Source organism: Homo sapiens, chromosome 8 (assembly GCF_000001405.40).
Source record: "Homo sapiens chromosome 8, GRCh38.p14 Primary Assembly".
NCBI lineage: Eukaryota > Metazoa > Chordata > Mammalia > Primates > Hominidae > Homo > Homo sapiens.
In genome coordinates this window covers 94,775,223-94,794,450 of record NC_000008.11, presented here as the reverse complement: position 1 = coordinate 94,794,450, position 19,228 = coordinate 94,775,223, and the positions used below count along the sequence as shown (strand labels likewise).

At 36.3% G+C, this 19,228-nt stretch overlaps 1 protein-coding gene across 11 annotated transcripts in view; it reads right to left on the bottom strand.

Moving 5' to 3' along the window:
• Positions 1–614: 614 nt before the first annotated feature.
• Positions 615–19,228, bottom strand: part of DPY19L4 (dpy-19 like 4) — a 73,937-nt gene continuing 55,323 nt past the window's right edge. For all 11 annotated transcript variants that reach the window (XM_005250894.5, XM_047421714.1, NM_181787.3 and 8 more), the window contains 6 exons: positions 16,665–16,785; positions 14,036–14,092; positions 13,285–13,367; positions 10,649–10,781; positions 6,399–6,557; positions 615–4,705 (listed from right to left, as the gene is read on the bottom strand). In XM_005250894.5, coding sequence (XP_005250951.2) covers positions 4,541–4,705; positions 6,399–6,557; positions 10,649–10,781; positions 13,285–13,367; positions 14,036–14,092; positions 16,665–16,785 — 718 coding nt within the window. In that variant the 3' untranslated portion in view covers positions 615–4,540. The remainder of the gene's footprint in view (positions 4,706–6,398; positions 6,558–10,648; positions 10,782–13,284; positions 13,368–14,035; positions 14,093–16,664; positions 16,786–19,228) is intronic.

The following is a 19,228-nucleotide window of genomic DNA, read 5'->3' as shown; positions in this document are numbered from 1 at the left end:
ATACATTTTAAACGGGTGAATTGTACGGTATATGAATTATATCTCAGCGAAGCTGTCACCAAAAAAGCTCATGTATAAATAAAATAACTTAAAATTCTGAAAATAGTTTTATTATGGAAACAAAATAAGGAGGGTAATTAAGCATGAAATAATTTCCTTCTTGATAAAAGTATATTGATTATTACAAAATTTGAAGTGTTAGTTTATAGCCCAAATCTTTCAAAGAATTTGTGTCTGCTGAAATGAACTTTGATCCTTTGCAAAGATGCAACTTTAGTTACAGGAGGAACATATTTAATCTAAATACACATTGTCACAGATAAGACTCAGAGGATAATATATATAAAGCTAACTATACTCATCTGTGTTAAATAGCTATACAAAGCTACTAACTTAAAATACGAAAGGGTTGTTTATGAGACATTTCAAACTATAAGTTTGGAATTCTTGTTCCTTTGTGATACCATTATTCTACTAAATACATATAGTGGTTAGAAGTCCAGTGTACCTCTTACAGAACAGCACATAGGATTAGATATGCCAAGATTAAAATGTTGCACATTTTAGGAAACTCAGAAATAATTCAAAGACGCCTTTATGCTAAACTCAGCAAATTTGGTTCCAAAATTTCCTTTATTATGAAAAAGTAAGTATAATGTTTAGACATTAATGTACAGAAAATAATTGTCATATATATTCCTTTATAATTTTCACACCTGTTTATTTTAAAGTGTTAATTCTACACATTAAAAAACATACTAATGAGATCCTGTTTGAATAGGAAATTGCTAAATTTTACTTGCAACTTTTTGTAGCTATAATTCTAATACACATTGGGATCTAAAACTATTAGTAAACAGCAACAATAGAGACTACGTATTTTTTAAATTGGGCAAATGAAAGAAGAATATATTGAGATGTAAATCAGGAAGTAGTTATTTGCGTTACAAATATGCAGATTAATTAATAACATACACCCTTTAAATACTAAAGCATTTAAAATAAGTTTAACAAAAAAGGCAATTTACACTTTTTAAAACCCCATCAGTTGTATAAAGAGAGGCACTACTTTTATCCACGAAAAGCATCAAAATTTTTTAACAGTTCAAAAATAGGGGCCCAAAACAACTGATTTATCAGAAACAAAACAATACAATGGCTATTCACAGTGTAAGAAATTAAATCTATTTTTTAAAGCATGTTTTTCAGTCTCAATTTATAACACACTTTGACTTCCATTTCTGCTTTTCCTTAAATCAATCTGGACTGTGTGGAAGAATGCCGTAACATGAAGCTATTAGCAATCTGGGTTAATGTTCTACAAAAAAAATATGCTGCCTATATACACAGAAAGTAAATGAAGAAAAAAGTTAGCACTGAAGTACAATGCATACTCCTTAGGTTCTTAAACTCTACCAGTCTAACAGAAAGCACCAAGATACAGATGCCAAAGTCAGAAAAAATACAAAGCAGCTCAGAATCAATATCATATATCTTATTCAAGGTAAATTTTATGTTAGATTCTTTGTCTGGCATTTGGGAGGCTAAATTAACTTAGGAGGCTAGAGATCCCATCTCTACTTTTTTTTTCTTTTTGAGATGGAGTCTTGCTCTGTTGCCCAGGCTGGAGTGCAGCGGCATGATCTCGGCTCACCGCAAGCTCCGCCTCGCCGCTTGACGCCATTCTCCTGCTTCAGCCTCGGAGTAGCTGGGACTACAGGCGCCCGCCACCCTGCCCGGCTAATTTTTTGTATTTTCAGTAGAGACGGGGTTTCACCGTGTTAGCCAAGATGGTCTCGATCTCCTGACCTCGTGATCTGCCTGCCTCAGCCTCCCAAAGTGCTGGGATTACAGGAGTGAGCCACTGCGCCTGGCCTCCATCTCTACTTTTAACAAAGACTTGCGCCGGGCGCAGTGGCTCACGTCTGTAATCCCAGCACTTTGGGAGGCTGGGGTGAGTGGATCATCTGAGGTCAGGAGTTCGAGACCAGCCTGGCCAACATGGCGAAACCCCGTTTCTACTAAAAATACAAAAATTAGCCGTGCTTGGTGGCAGGTGCCTGTAATCCCAGCTACTCCGGAGGCTGAGGCAGGAGAATCACTTGAACCTGGGAGGCGGAGGTTGCAGCGAGCGGAGGTTGCAGTGAGCCAAGATCGCGCCATTGCACTCCAGCCTGGGAGACAAGAGTGAAACTCCATCTCAAAAAAATAAAAAATAATAATAATAATAAATTCAAGGCACTTGTATCAGTGGGTTTGCAGTATCAAGGGCAAAGAACATTTTTTATTTCTTTGAGAAATTCCTTCCACCCAAAACCCATAAATTCTTCTCCTCTCATAGTAGATCTTTATTGTCAAACCTAACAACTGTAAGTTACCTAAGTGGAATTACTTGTAGAATTGTGAATCATTTGTTCACTCTACAAATAAGTGAAGAAATAAACTAAATGCTTTCCACTTAAAGTTGTCTAGTACTATTAACTGCAGTTAAAACAGAAGCAAATAAACTTATCTGTCATATTCAATATTGTCATTTCCATAATGAAGCTTTCTTTTCCTTTTCAACTGATGCTGGATGAAAAATTCATTATTTAAAACATCCCATTAACAATTTTTCCAGATCAATTTTATTTAAAAAATAAGTTGACAGAAAGAAGCAAAAGCAACTTACTAATATGTCAAACAAAACACAAGTACCAAACCTAATTCAGCACAGGTAACATAATATAAATCAACAAAAATTCGATTAAATATTTCACACTAGATAAAAAGTAGGGTGTTCTATTTCCCCTACAAAATATGGAAGCTGACTTTTCAATTACATTGTTTTACATGCTCTAATCACAAGTACTACCATGTGACTATTCACTGTGTGCTTAGGTAACTATGGTTATATTTTCAGAAGGCTTGAAGCAAAATACTAGTGACTCACTATTCAGATGTACAGAGTCAACCTGAGGTACACTGCCTGCAACTATCTTAATATAGTTAAGAAATTACGTATAAAAGTGAAATGAGAACCACTGAAACTAATCTATCAGATATATGACATCACCATCAAACAATTCTTCAGCTCCAAAAGAGCAAAGCATCTGAGAGTTAGTCTAAGAATGCATGTACTTTAACAACACATGTATAACAGAAAATAAAGACAACGGAAAAGCTCCCTTCTAATGTAGTGTACTTTTACAACACATATATAACAGAAAATAAAGACAATGGAGAAATGCTCTCTTCTAATGTAGTAATTTAGAGTACTGAAAATGCAATTTTTGCAGCACTTTAACAAGTGAGAATTATGAAAATCTGTTCACTGAACAGGAATATAAGGAAAAACTAAACATGTATCCCAACTTATTAAAATGACACATCTATAGGCTACATCTATCCTGAATCTCTCTATAAGGCCAAATTAACTTTTCACAATTTTCTCTTAATAAATGATTAAAAATATGAAAATACTTAAAGGAACATAGCATTTAGACTGTGAAACTGTGTTGTAAATTTTATTATAGTTGTCATTTTTTCTTGATGTTGAAGACTGCATCACAGTTTCATAAATAACATTGCTTGTGTTTTATAATATATCTGTATGCAGAGGTACGTTTAACAACATCTGCATGTATCCCCAGAAATTGTTGCTAATTTTAGAACACATATTTTTATTCTGATAATGATTTAATTTTTTTACTTAGTACTTCAGTAGAAAACATGTGAATAGATTGTATGCCCCATATCAGTATTTAAAAAAAAAACCTGAACAACATTCTTTTAAATGTCCATTTAACAAAATATATGTTAACGGTTATTGTTTTATCATGATTAAATTGGTATCAAATTAATAGGCATAAGTGAAAAAACTAATCACTTACTAGTCATTTAGAAAATGCAGTAACATCATGCATTATGTATTACTAAGAAAGTTCTCACTTAACATAAGCAGTAGATGAGGAGAACAGTATCATGAAAATTCTAAATATATCTTTATGTATATCCTTAAAAATCACTTTCCTTTATATAATTTCCATTTTAATTTAAATGCCACATATCTTCAGCTAACATTTAAATTAGTTTTTATTGTAAAACTTCAGTTGTTATACATCATAAAATACCTTCAGAAACTTGCTTGAAGGTCGGAATTATTCTTTCTATTAAATAATTATATCACATTATTTATTAAATGTTATGTTTGAGAAATGTATCTGACCTTGCACATATTCAAATTCAAGATCAATATTATAATAGAATGAAGATTTTATGGGGAAAATATTGCAATCAGTAAAAGTGTTAAAGACCATGTAACGGTAAGGAAGACACCTGTCTGGAATATTGCAGAGTGGTAGATATCACATTTAATCAAAGGACAGTAATGCTTGATCTTCTATTTCCCACAGAACTCTGGATCCAGTTAACAGCAGAAGGGGGAAAGAAGCAGCAATATTTCAAATGTCCATACTCTGATCTGCAAAAGACACCGAGTAGGTAGAAGAAAACTGCATTTTACTTCAGGTAGTCTTTGAAATGAAGGCTCTGTTATTTTTCAAGACTGGAAGGATATCACAGTGTTGATTTTATATACAAAGTAGGATCTGTTCCAGTATACTCTAGTGAAATAATTCACATATGGAGAATAGTTAATTTTGACCTCATGACAAAATCGCCCATATTTTGAGTAGGTTAGCTTGTCACCTTCTTCACAAACCATCTATTAAAAGATATAAAACATAATATTAAAAAGCTTATTAAGCTTATAGCAGAAATGCAATCAATATACAAATGAGTATATTTATATGAAAAAACACATTATTGCTAAACATTGTCTATAAAACATCTCACTGTTAGCAAATAGAAGCCTTCTTCATAAGTGAGTCACCATGCCCACTATACTCCTGAACTTCTCATTGACACTGAGAAACCAGCACAAAGGTTTCCAATTTTTAAAAGATTTAATCCTAAAATTTAGAAGGCAGTGTTTCCATAATCCATTATCATCGCTCCGAAGACCTTATCATGCACCCTACCAAGGCTGAGAAATGAACATATTATATTCCTAAATATATTCACTCTTCTCGTGTAGAATTATTTAGTAAGCAAGGAAACTTTCGTGACTTAGTGCAGACCTTTACAATTTCACCGAATGATGTTCACTAAGATAGCTTAGTTAGCTTGAAGAAGTTTTTATAAAAAAAATTAAGTAATATTTTAATGGCTATGAAAGATGTCAGATAGCCAACTTTAAAAGGATGGATTAGCTTAAGTCCATGCCAGGCATGACATGAAAGGAGAAGTAAGCTGATCTTCAAAACAGCAGAAAAGTGGGTATCAGAGCAGAATAGAAAGGCTTCAGAGAGCAGATAGCAAGACAGCACCAATTACTGAAACTGTACCCGAGGCTTCATAAAATTCCATTTGTGTCACCAGTAAACCAAAGATCACAGCCACTAAGTACCAACAGAGAAATTCAAAATACATGTACCATAAAACAGAGTAAGTTTATATTACAAGATTAAGGGGTCATGAGGAAAAGATAAGTAGAAATCACAAAAAGTAATTTCTTACCTCCAAACTGATCTTGGATAAGACAAAGAGCTATGATTATTTAGGAAAAGACAGAAAAAATCTTGGCTGCAACCTGAATAGTATATCTACTACCACTTACAATGACTTACTAAACTTTTCTTATGATCCCTCACTCCCAGCTTTCTCAGGAGTCAAGAATCCATTCCAGCTAGCATTAAGTCTCAGATATACACACTGCCTTCATTGGAAGGCCATGGGGGCTGGGGGGGAAGACACATGCGCGCGCGCGTGCGTCAGTCTTAGGTGGTCTTCTTGTGGAAAACACAGCTTGGTAAAACAGCCGAAATCAATATAGAAATTAAGATACAGCCAAGTCCTAACAACTAACATGGCTTTTAATACATTCGTTTTTGTGGATAATAGGGACTCAATGTACAGGCACTGTGTTAATTTAGCATGCAATTTTTCTAGATATGAATCAAATTACAAGAAATTTCTCAACATAAGAATATAACAAGGTAACCAGTTGCTCTTTAGATTATTATAATAAAATAAAATCATCATTCAAATCAAATTATGCCATCTTTTGTTTATGAATGTTGAAACCTGAATAAGTACAGGCAATGAATAAGGAATTCCAGTATTGGTAATACCATTATTATTTTTTATTATTTTTGCAAAAATGCCCAGATTTTCTTTTGTATGTTGAAAAAATACTCCAAACTACTTTTAAGAAGCTTTCCCCATTATTACATAACTCAATTATATTCTTAGTTAAGTTCTAAAAATAAAGTTTAAAGATTATAAGTTTAAAGTCATTTTTCTAAAAAAAAAATATATATATATACATATATATAACTTTCCAAATGGTTACTTACGTGGCCATTTGCAATGTCTAATAAATCTTTAACCCTACAGCCTCTCATGGGTCCCACCTCATTGCAGATAGCATCCTCTACAATTAGGTAATTAGCTTTGTAAGATGTCAGTATTTTATAAATATCCTCAGCAGATCGCTTTGAATAGATTTGGTAGATCTGAAAGAATATAATTAAAATAAAACTGAAAGAATATAATTAAAATAAAATTTAAAGGACATTTAAAACTTCAGTAAATTGAAACTATACATCAAGCATCTACTGTGTTCTAAGTACGATTATATATGAAAAATATATTTATTTTTATAAATAAATGTAAATATTCATCTATATATCAAAACTCATGTTTGGATTATGTGGTGCTTTTTACTATAATTTTTCTGAACTTATTAGATAATAAGCTCTGGATCTTATTAGATAATAAAGCTTTTCAGTCTTTCTGAAATGTTAATATTGGATCAACTCTTGATATCCTTCAAAAAGTAGTAAAACCACAAATATTAGGCCCATAGTATCATATACTATTTGTCCTGAAAATACTGAGATTTGAAATCTAGAATGAATAAGATTCCAATCTATTTGCAGAATATCCAGTAGCTGCCTCCTACCTGTCACCATAGCTGCCTATCTAGTACCTTCAGTTCCCACGTCCACTGACATGCTAGGAATACCCACCTTCAACATTCTGTGGCACACAGAATGCCAATACATCAAGAGGAAGTGTCTCCCTCATTTCACTACACTAAATACGTTTCAGTGGGAATGGTTCTATCCTATCTAGCCTATACCTATTCATAGTTATTTACAATTTTATTTATTTTTAAGTGTTAAGAAACTGAAACATACTATTGGGGCATTAAAAAAAAACCACTTCTATGCGATTGTAACAACATTACTGATAGCCTACAGCACAGTTTCTCAACCTTGGCACTATTCACATTTTAGGCCAGATCATTCTTTGTTGGGACACAAGGGAGGATGTTCTCTGCAATGTAGATCAGCATTCCTGGTCTCTACCCACAAGATGCTCGTAGAACCCCTCTTCCAGTTATGACATTGAGACAACCAAAAATGTCTCCAGACACTGCCAAATGTCCCCTCGGGGAACAATTCTCCCAGGTTAAGAATCACTGGCCCAGGGGATTATATAAGGATTAGCCACATATTATGAATTAGAGACTCTGTGTAATTTAAATGATATGGTTGGCCAGGCGCAGTGTCTCACGCCTGTAATCCCAGCACTTTGGGAGACCCAGGGAGGCGGATCACTTGAGATCAGGAGTTTGAGGCCAGCCTGGCTAACATGGCAAAACCCCATCTCTACTAAAAATACAAAAATTAGCTGGGTGCGGTGGCATGCACCAGTAGTCCCAGCTACTCGGGAGTCTGAGGCAGGAGAATTGCTTAAACCTGGGAGATGGAGGTTGCAGTGAGCCGAGATCATGCCACTGCACTCCAGCCTTTACGAAATTCTCTAAAATTGAAAAACAGAATATTGGGAACTTAGGTTCAGTTCATCATTGCTTTCAGATATGAAGTTACCATTTAAATCCATACCGTACCAGAGTGAGACTCTATCTCAAAAAAATAAATTAATTAAAAATAAATAAATAAATAAATAAATAAATGGCCGGGCATGGTAGCTCACTCCTGTAATCCTAGCACTTTGGGAGGCAGGGGTAGGCGGATTGCCTGAGCTCAGGAGTTCAAGACCAGCCTGGGCAACATGATGAAACCCTGTCTCTACTAACATAAAAAATTAGCCAGGCGTGGTGGTGTGCACCTGTAGTCCCCGCTACTCAGAAGGTTGAGGCAGGAGAACTGTTTGAACCTGGGAGGCGGAGGCTGCAGTGAGCTGAGATTGTGCCACTGCACTCCAGCCTGAGCGAGACTCGTCAACAACAACAACAACAAAAATTAAAATTAAAAAATAAATAAATGATATGGTCTCATTTATGGAGTTCAGTTTGGATTTTAGCTTAACAACAAATTTACTCAATACCTGCTATGTGCTACATACCATAGAGAAAGACAAAGGTTTCAAAAACCATGGTTACTATTCTCATAGACAAGTTACATAAAACTTAAAACTCTAAAATGTTTAAATTAGAACCTAAATAGAACTCTGACCTAATTACAAGTAATTCTGAAATTCCATATTAGAAAAAGACCAATCAAAGAAAACAAAGTCACAGAGTTTGTTGTTTTAAATCCACAAAAAATAAAATTCAGGAATATGCTGTCTATATTCTGCCTAAGCAACTCTATCTTTTGGAGGTGCAGCAAATACTCATCAGAGATGGCTGCTGTCTCTCAAGGAAATCATTCTCAGGTAGATCTCCCCATCTCTGATCTCTCCCCTGCCTGCTTCAATCTGTTCTTTCTGCCATGACCATAATTAACTCTCCAAAGCAGATCTAATCATTCGACTGCCAGGTTTACTAAAAGTCATGTCTCTTAACTGCCTCAAGGATAAGTCTAAATTTTTCAGCATGACATTCCAGGTCTGTCAGAATTCTGCCTCATTTTCTTTCCTAGTTTCAAGACTATACAAATTCCTTGGCTCATGTTACTTTTTCAGCCTGGAATCATATATATTTCTTTTCCAAACAAGTTTCCAATCATTCTTCAAAGCCCAGATCAAGGGACTGCCTTTTATGACAACTTCTTAGACTTTTGTAGGCGGAATTGTTCGATTGTTCCTGCTTTTTTACTCCTCTTTGTACCTTGTGTGTGTCTATGTATATGTGTATGCATGCAACAACCACTTAATAGTACAGAATAATAACATAATAGCAAACTTTAAAATTTTACTGTGTTTCAGGCATTGTACATTATCTCATTTAATTCTCACAAGTAGGAGGTGAGAACTATTATTCTCACTTAATCTCGAGATTTAGTAACTCGCTTAAGGTCACGAAGCTAATACACAGCAGAGCTAGCATTTGGGTTCAGGTACTCAAATTTCTGAGTCTGCATTCTTAATCTCTATATTACTGTATTTCTTCCTTAACTTAGAATATGCTTAAAAACTCTATGAAATTATCTAAAATTGAAAAACAGAATATTGGGAACTCATGTTCAGTTGATCATTGCTTTCAGATATGAAGTTACCATTTAAATTCATACCAAACATTCAAAATAAGACATTATCTAAACTATAATTAATTAGATACCATTCTAATGTTATACTGAGTCAATAACTGCCCATTTATTAAAAAATAAATTAGTGTTTTATAAGCAATAATAGAACTTTAGCTGAGAAAGACAAAATGTAGTACCAAGACATTAATTGACAGCCTTCTTTTAAAAATTTGATTGAGGGCTGGGCACGGTGGCTCACGCCTGTATTCCCAGCACTTTGGGAAGCCAAGGCAGGTGGATCACCTGAGGTCAGGAGTTTGCCACCAGCCTGATCAACATGGTGAAACCCTGTCTCTATTAAAAAATACAAAAATTAACTGGTCATGGTGGCTGGTGCCTGTAATCCCAGCTACTCGGGAGACTGAGGCAGAAGAATCACTTGAACCCGGGAGGTGGAGGTTGCAGTGAGCCAAGATCGCACCATTGCACTCCAGCCTGGGTGACAGAGCAAGACTCTGTCTCAAAAAAATAAATAAATACAATAAAAAATAAAATAAAAATTTGATTGAGAACAATATTTTAAAAAGAACGTTAGCTGGCTGTGGTGGCAGGTGCCTGTAATTCCAGCTACTCAGGAGGCAGAGGCAGGAGAATCGCCTGAACCCAGGAAGCAGAGGTTGCAGTGAGCCGAGATTGCGCCACTGTACTCCAGCCTGGGTGAATTAAAAAAATGTTAGCCGGCTGTGGTGGTGAGTGCCTATAATCCTAGCTACTCAGGAGGCTGAGGCAGGAGAATCGCTTGGAGGCAGGAGAATCGCTTGAACCCAGGAAGCGGAGGTTGCAGTGAGCTGAGATTGCACAACTGTATTCCAGCCTGGGTAAAATATTACACATTAGGTCCCTTGATACTTTGTGGAAAATTAAGTATTTTTCCTAGAAACATATCAGTATTATTCATAAAACAAAGAACTTAGTATTTTAATTTTGGGTCTCCTCTTGGTTAACTGTATTATTAATTAAAAAGGTTTTTTAAAATGGAAGTTAATTAACTCTTCTAAAATTGTTTGGACTTTCCTAGCTACCTAGAAGCATATGTATACTGCAGACTATGCTAAAATACAAAGTGCTGGAAAAGAGATCCAAATGTAGAATTTAAAATGTCTTACATTTTCATTTCTCTTGAGAAGATCATCATCATTGTAAAGAGGCAAACTTGTCACCATCCATCCAGTGCATAATTTAATCGCACCCATTAACTGTGGACTCCCTGCAAACACAGCTGCAACTGGAGCTTGCCTTCTGCAAAGAACCATAAAGATTTGCACACTGAAAAGGCAAGTATACTATTTAGATCACTGATCTATATCAACTCTGAAATACCAGACAACTTACAATGTTTACACATTTCAGTTTCAATGCCAGTTTTCATTTCATTTCATTCATGGATTCATTCAAAAAAATTGGGCACCTAACTATGCAGCAGACACTTGTGCTGAAGATATAGAAACTTTTCTAAAAAGAGGGAGCAGGGGGAAGACAATAAGAAGTAAACACATATATTGGGTGGTAATAATATGATTAAAAATAATGCAGAGTAAGGGGATAGTAACAAGAATATATTATTTTAGATAAGGTGGCTAGTTCAGTGATGATACTGTGAATTCTCAACTCCATCTTTTGCAAATTAACCACCTACAACCCAGCTTCTTCCAAATCCACCTCTCCTCCTGCTCCTTCACTGTCTTTACCCATGTGTCTGTCTCCAGGCAGAACATATAGGACTCCTCCACTCTGAATCATTATCCCAAGTCCCAGACAGATGCTACTTGCAAAGTGGAAAACCTACAAGCAGGTCCCAAAGGGCTGTTGTAATACATTCACTTATTTATTCACTGTCTAAATTTAACATTAAGCACCCACCTCTATGCGCCAGGGATAGTGCCCGGCTATTGAAATAAAGAGATGGCATATATGGCCACTGTCCTCAATAGTGAGGAAACAGATACAAAACACAGTAATTGTACCCAGTAACATAAATATTCAATAGGTAATTGTTTGGGCCTTTGCTGTCTTTGAAAATACTGTGGTAAATCATACAGAGATGTAACTTCCTCTTTTGTTAATGATAACACAAGGCAGTGTTCAACAATAGAAAACAGAATTTACAAAAAGTATTAATGGGTAATAGTTAAGGGTGATCTAAAGAAAACTATTTGTATAAAATAGAAGATATGTTATAGTAACAAGACATTATAATAAAATCTATTCTTGTTTCTATATACCTATTCTATAAACCAATTTTAAATTTCTAGAAACACTTTTTGTCTTTTTTCCCATATTTTTCTGGTCTTTTTTGATAGTATTTCATCACTTTTTCATGTTTTCTTATCTTCTTTTATGTCTTTAATAAATTTCAATGTAGTTATTTCATAGTTTCCATCCATGGAATAGACTGGTTACAAAAATGGCCACAGTAATTCCTCTCCCTATGGTCATGGTCTTGGAGGGAATGCTAGTATTAATCATGTGACTTGCTTTGGCCAATAGGACAATAGTAAGCACCGTGTAAGCAGTGACTTAAAACATGCTTGACATTGAGAATTGCCCTCTTTTGCTGCTCTTGGGAATTCTACAACTACCTTGTAAACAAGCCCAAGTTAACCTGCTAGATGATGAGAGACAGAGGGCCAAGTAAATTTGATCCCCTCAGCTGACACATAGCCAACCCTAGACTATCCAGTCCCAGTGGAGCTGGCCCAGACCAAAACAATCCTCCCCAGCACCCTAACCCTGCTAATTCTCAAGATGGTGTGGAATAACAAATGTTTATTGTTTGTAAGCCACTAAGTTTTGTGGCATTCTGTTATGTAGCAAACCCTAAATGACATAAATTTTATTATCAGAAATAGCTAGAGGTCTAATTCTGCTGTTTATCGCACACTGCATTGAGCTGTTTATGTGTTTTATAATTTCAGAGCTTACCTTTATGAAACTTTACTTATGGAATCCTGTATAACATGGGTTGAGGATTTGTCACCCATTCCAGACCAACCCCAAACCACTTTTAATGTTAATTTCTTAATTTGGGATTTCTTAGATTAGACAAGCATAATTTCAAATTACATTAGCCAAGTATAATTTCGAACTATAAAACCACATGAATTCAGATCCATTGCTATAAATTGAGAGGGGAGAATTTTTTTGACCAAGAGATGAATGCAAGAGAGATCTGCTTTCTCATCTTCTTTCTCTACCCCTTGGTATCTTGCTACTCCATCCTTTCACTGACTAGGTATTTTGCTCTTCTATCCTTTCACTGCCAGTGTAGCCTTTTGAGGGTCCCTGAGTTACACATGTGTGTGTTGGGGGGTTCTCAATTCCAATTCCCTGCTTCCATAGGCCTAAGACCACATCTCCTGTCCTGTGTGGGCATTAAAATCTAAAACCCCTGGTTATCAAAACTAATAATCCACTGACAATTCACCTCCAACACAGGGCAAAATAAGCATCCTCTTGAGTATCTAAATAAAAGGATATCTCTTCTTTTTTATCCCATATTTCTAAGTGTTTGACAATGGCAGTTTCAAATCTTATACCGACCAATGCTATATTTTCAAGCCCATGGAGATGAGCGGAAAATTAGTATCACTAAGTCCAACCAAAATCTAAATATCCCTAAAACGCCTGAGTTTTATGAAAAAATTTGGAGAAGTATTAATTTATTATTTCCTGTGAATTCATTAGATAGCATGCAGTGATTAATTAATAGCTTAATAATAGTCTTGGGCACTTCAATCCTTACTTTATCCAGGTCATAAGTTCCACTGTATCTGGGTCATAGAATTCCTGTAGTTCCATTAATTCTGTCATTAATCTGGGAAAAAACTAAAATGCAAAAAAAAAAAAAAAAAATCCCCAAAAGATGTATGTCAGTAATTAGAAAGTTTAAAACTGTTCCACAGTATTTCAAAAGACTAACAGACTAACTTAAGGCAAATGATATTACAACACCGTTCGCATGGAAAAAATGTCATGATGGATCTCTTTGCTTTCCTTCAATGGCCTGCTTATTTTTCTCAATCCAAATCATCTATTTTATGGTTAATTCACTGCTTTGACTCAATAAATAATTTTATCATTACCAAACAATAATAAATTGATCATCTTTCAGGCACATACATACTAAATAAATAAATAAATTTTCAGGTCCAATAATTTGCAGAATTTATATCATTTCATAGATGATAAAGTTTTGGAGTTACCAAAACGTGTTTTAATATTAATTCCTATTTACTCAGCAATTTCCTTTGCCAATTATAAACTGAATTAACACTAGCATTAGACTGCAGAAAATGGCATCAGGTGGCATTCTAGAAATGTTTTAGCTCTTCTGCAATGTTCCTAATAACAAAAAAAATTAAGCATTACTAAGAATGTTACATTTTATTTTGTTAGGATAGTGTCTCAACATGTTTCCTACCCACACATATAAATTTATCACTACCTTTGTAGATAAAGTACATTTTATTAATATAAAAATCTAATTTTTTTACCTCTTTCCATAAGCTGAGACCTATTATAGTAGGCACGGCCATGCTCAGAATAAGAGCCTAAAATATTAAAGCAAAAAGGATTACAAATAAATACATTTCAGAACACACGTTAGAGGTAATAGACACTGATTCTATGACCAATCATATATCTCTATAGTTATACAAATTTCAAAAAAAATGAAGTCAACATAGAACCTAGTTCACAGAATGAGATGGGTGAAAACTAATGACTTTCAAAGATATTAAGCTGGAAGTAAAGTGAGACATAAACATTTACTATAAAAATTTAAGGCAGAACATTAAAAAGGTAATGCTCATAATAATATTTCAAATGGCAAGTGGATACTTGAAAAATTTGCCAGAAATTTATGTTATACAGATCTTACAAAGGATAGTACACTACTACATGAAAAGCTAACAACAAAAAAAACAATGAATTAACACAAGAAAAATAGCTAATATACATCAGTATACTAGTCTGTTAAAATAAGAACATATAAACTCTCCTTGAAATAAGACTGGCAAAATACAACATAAGTATTATTAAAGATAATGTATCATCATCCTGCTATAATAAAACCTGCTCTGCCTTCTGTCCCATGTCTTTTAGTGACCCTGTGATCCAGTCATACCAACCAGAAACCCAGGAAACATCTAAGTTATCTCCCTCTTCCTCATTTCCCCATACTTAATAAGCAGTGAGGCTTACTGATCTTCTAACTACTTTTTTCATTCCAATCTGGCATACTATTAATCAAATGGGCTTTTGAGTCAGAAAAACCTGGGCATGGCTGGGTGCGGTAGCTCACACCTATAATTCCAGAACTTGGGGGCCAAGGTGGGAGGATTGCTTGAGTCCAGGAGTTTGAGACCAGCCTGGGCAACATAGTGAGACCCTGTCTCTACAAAAAAAAAAAAAGTTTTAATTAGCTGGGCATGGTGGCGTGTGCCTGAAGTCCCAGCTACTCAGGAGGATGAGGCAGGAGGATTGCTTAAGCCCAGGAGTTTAAGGCTAAAGTGAACTATGACTGTGCCACTGCACTCCAGCCTGGGAGACACCGTAAGACTCTGTCTCAAAAAGAAAAAAAAAAAAAGAGAAAAGAAAATCCTGGGTGTGAATCATGATTTCCATACTTACAAACTTGGTAATCTCAAGTAAGTTATTTAAACAATTAAAGCCTTGGTTTTTTTTTTTTAATCTATAAAACAGAGAAAATCTAGGATTAAATAGCATGTGAAATGCTTCAAACAGTACCTGACATAGTGAACATTCAATAAATTGAAGCTTCAATTACTTCTAGCCACTCTGGCCTCCTCTGTGACTGAAGTCTGTTGCCTGTAGGACTATCCTTCACAGAAATGTAAGAGTGAGCAAATAGAAAATGTAAGTCTGACTCTCTCACTTTGCATGAGGCAGACACATCCCAATTTCTTCCCACTGCTGACAGCATGAGAGCCAGCTCCGCAGCATGACACCCAGGGACCCCATGGCCTCACCTTCCTCCACTTCTCCAGTCTCATTTCTTGACCACCCCTACCTACCTCACACTTTATGTGCCAAGAAAACTAAATATATTGTGCTTTTTTCCCAGTCCCTTTGATTACATCATGTTCTTTGCCTACTTCTGTGTCTATTCCTTCTACCATGAATACCCTTTCTTTCCCCTTCATTTGCCTAATAACTAAATATATTTCCAATCTCAGATTGGAAAGCCTTATTTGAGTCCCTAAAAGAAAAAAAAAAGAAAGAAAAAGAAAAACAGAATTGAGTAGCCCTTCCCTATGTTCTAACAGCACCCTATGAAAATTTATTTTTGTTTTTTAGGAGGCAGGACAGGGAAAGAAGGAAGAGCTGGCAGGTTGAAGAAAGTGGAAGCGGAGGGAGCAGGGGACAGAGGGCCGAATTCTTATTATCTGTTTTTACACCCAGAGATTATAATCCACTTGATGAAATTAAGTGTGCTATAATTATCTTTGTATCCCAAGCACATAGCAGGCAGAATGTAATGTTCCATTCACATAGAAAATATACCATAGTTCTAAATCAAACCAAGAAAGATATCATAAAAATTGATTCTTGATGACCTCTCACATTACTGATTCACGTACATTTTTATCTTTTATTTTTTAAGTTGTATGCATTAAAATGCATTACTTTGATAATCAGAATTTTTTTTTTTTGAGACAAAGTCTTGCTCTGTTGCCCAGGCTGTAGTGCAGTGGTGAGATTTTGGCTCACTGCAACCTCTGCCTCCTGGGTTCAACCAATTCTCAATTCTCAGCCTCTTGAGTAGCAGGGACTACAGGCATGCGCCACCATGCCCAGCTAATTTTTTTTTGTATTTTAAGTAGAGACAGGGTTTTACCATGTTGGCCAGACTGGTCTCGAACTCCTGGCCTCAAGTGATCCACCCACTTCAGCCTCCCAAAGTGCTTGGATTACAAGCGTGAGCCACCGCGTCCAGCCCAGAAATTATTTTTAAAAATGTTTTGCGCAGGATCTGTTTTTCTACCTGTAAGTCATCATGTAATTTACTCATGCTATTTCAATTGTATTCAATGTAGTTTCCATTTATTAGCATTTGATTTTATATAATTAGAAGAGAAACAATGCAAAATAATGACTCACCAACAATATTGGGTGTACAGTTCTTAATCGAAGCCACTTGAAAAGTGTCATCCAAAGTTCGGGAGAACATACACCAAATGCTGCTAACATGCACACATAAGGAATCCAGATGTACTTCAAGCTAGAAAACACAAATGGAGTCATACATGAGACATCCTGTGAACATCATTATTATCTAATTTTTGTTCTCTGAGCTCTTTCCTACTACTCACGAAAATACCAAAATGCTAAGGGACAGTGAAAAAGCTTAGACTCTAATTTTCAGCAACAGATTGTTATCCAGTTTTTTAAAAATCAAGCAGACATGTGGGCTAGCAAATTAGGATAAAATAAAAGCATTAATACTGATGAGGATGCAGGAAAATTGTATTCTTGGAGAGAATATAAGCTATGACAGCTCTTTCAGAAGGCAATTTGGTGGACTGGGAGTGGTGGCTTATGCCTGTAATCCCAGCACTTTGGGAGGCTGAGGTGGGTGGATCACTTGAGGCCAGGAGTTTGGGACCAGCCTGGGCAACACAGTGAAACCCTGTCTCTACCAAAACTACAAAAATTAGCCAGGCATGGTGACACATGCCTGTGGTCCCAGCTACTTGGGAGGCTGAGGCAGGAGGATCACCTAAGCCTGGGAGGCAGAGGTTGCAGTGAGCTGAGATCGCACCACTGTACTCCAGCCTGGGTGAAAAGCGAGACTCTGTCTTAAAAAAACAAAACAAAACAAAAAAACTCTAAGATAGACAATGCCATTTCTAGTAATGTAGCCTAAAAATATATTAGCATAAGAGTATAAAGATAGACATACAAGGGTTTTTTTTTTTTTTTTGAAGCGGAGTCTCACTGTCGCCCAGGCTAGAGTACAGTGGTTGTGATCTTGGCTCACTGCAACCCCCGCCTTCTGGGTTCAAGTGATTCTCCTGCCTCAGCCTCCCAAGTAGCTGGAATTACAGGCACATGCCACCACGCCCAGCTAATTTCTGCATTTTTAGTAGAGACCAGGTTTCACCGTGTTGGCCAGGCTGGTCTCAAATTCCTGACCTCAAGTGATCCACCCGCCTTGGCCTCCCAAAGTGCTGAGATTACAGGCATGAGCCACCGCACCTGGCCACACACAAGAGTTTTAACTATAGCATTTTGTTTTACTAGCAAGAAAATTGGAAAAACAACAACAACAACAAAAAAAACTTCTGTTCTTCAATAGGTATTGATTAAATAAATTATTATAAAAAGCAAAATGCAAAACTTCATGTGCAATGTTAACCTAATTTTTGCTTTTTTTTTTTTAATGTAGATATATGGCCCAAGCAAAAATAACACCTGGGGCTGGGTGCAGTGGCTCACACCTGTAATCTCAGGACTTTGGGAGGCTGAGATGGGCAGATCACTTGAGGTCAGCAGTTTGAGACCATCCTGGCCAACATGGTGAAACCTCGTCTCTACTAAAAATACAAAAATCTGGCCATGTGCGGTGGCTCTCGCCTGTAATCCCAGCAAATTAAGAGGCCGAGGCAGTGGATCACCTGAGGTCAGGAGTTTCAGACCAGCCTGGGCAACACGGTGAAACCCCGTCTCTATTAAAAATGCAAAAAATTAGCTGGGCATGGTGGTGGGCGCCTGTAGTCCCAGCTACTCGGGAGGCTGAGGCAGGAGAATGGCATGAACCCGGGAGGCAGAGCTTGCAGTGAGCCAAGATTGTGCCATTGCACTCCAGCTTGGGCAACACAGGGAGACTCCATCTCAAAAAAAAAAAAAAAAAAAAAAAAGATTTAAAAATTGAACTCTTAAATTAAAAAGATTAAAAATCCAGGTGTACAGAAAAAATTAACTTGTATCATTAGAAGAAAATACATTATGTTGTAGATTTTAAAGAAAACAAAAGGAGCCCATCTCCGTAGGAGATGCTAACTGCTAAAAATGGAAGAGGAAAAGTTTAGAAAAATTAATAGATATCAGTGCTTAGTATAGATTATCAAGAAAAAAAATAACATTTCAAGGGATAACTTTTGTAATAAATACTAAGGAGAACAACCAGACCCTTCTATGATATATTCCCTGGTGTCAAACTCGGAAGAGACTGGAAGAATCTGGGCCTAGAGTATAAATGTTAACCTCTGTGGTTTTATAAAACAGCAAAGCCATGGAATGGAGAAAATGAAGAAATATCCCTGGGTACAGTGGCACATGCCTGTCATCCCAACACTTTGGGAGGCCAAGACAGTAGGATCATTTGAAGCCAGATGTTCACGACTAGCCTGGGCAACACAATTAGACCCTGTCTCTACAAAAGAATTTCTTTTTTTAGTTTTTAAAAATTAAGAGGCTGGGTGCAGTGGCTCACACCTGTAATCCCAGCACTTTGGGAGGCTGAGGCGGGTGGAACAACTGAGGTCAGGAGTTTAAGACCAGCCTGGCCAACAAGGTGAAACCCCATCTCTAATAAAAATACAAAATTTAGCCAGGCGTGGTGGCACATGCCTGTAATCCCAGCTACTCTGGAGGCTGAGGCAGGAGAATAGCTTGAACCTGGGAGGTGGAGGTTACAGTGAGTCGAGATGGCGCCTCCAGCC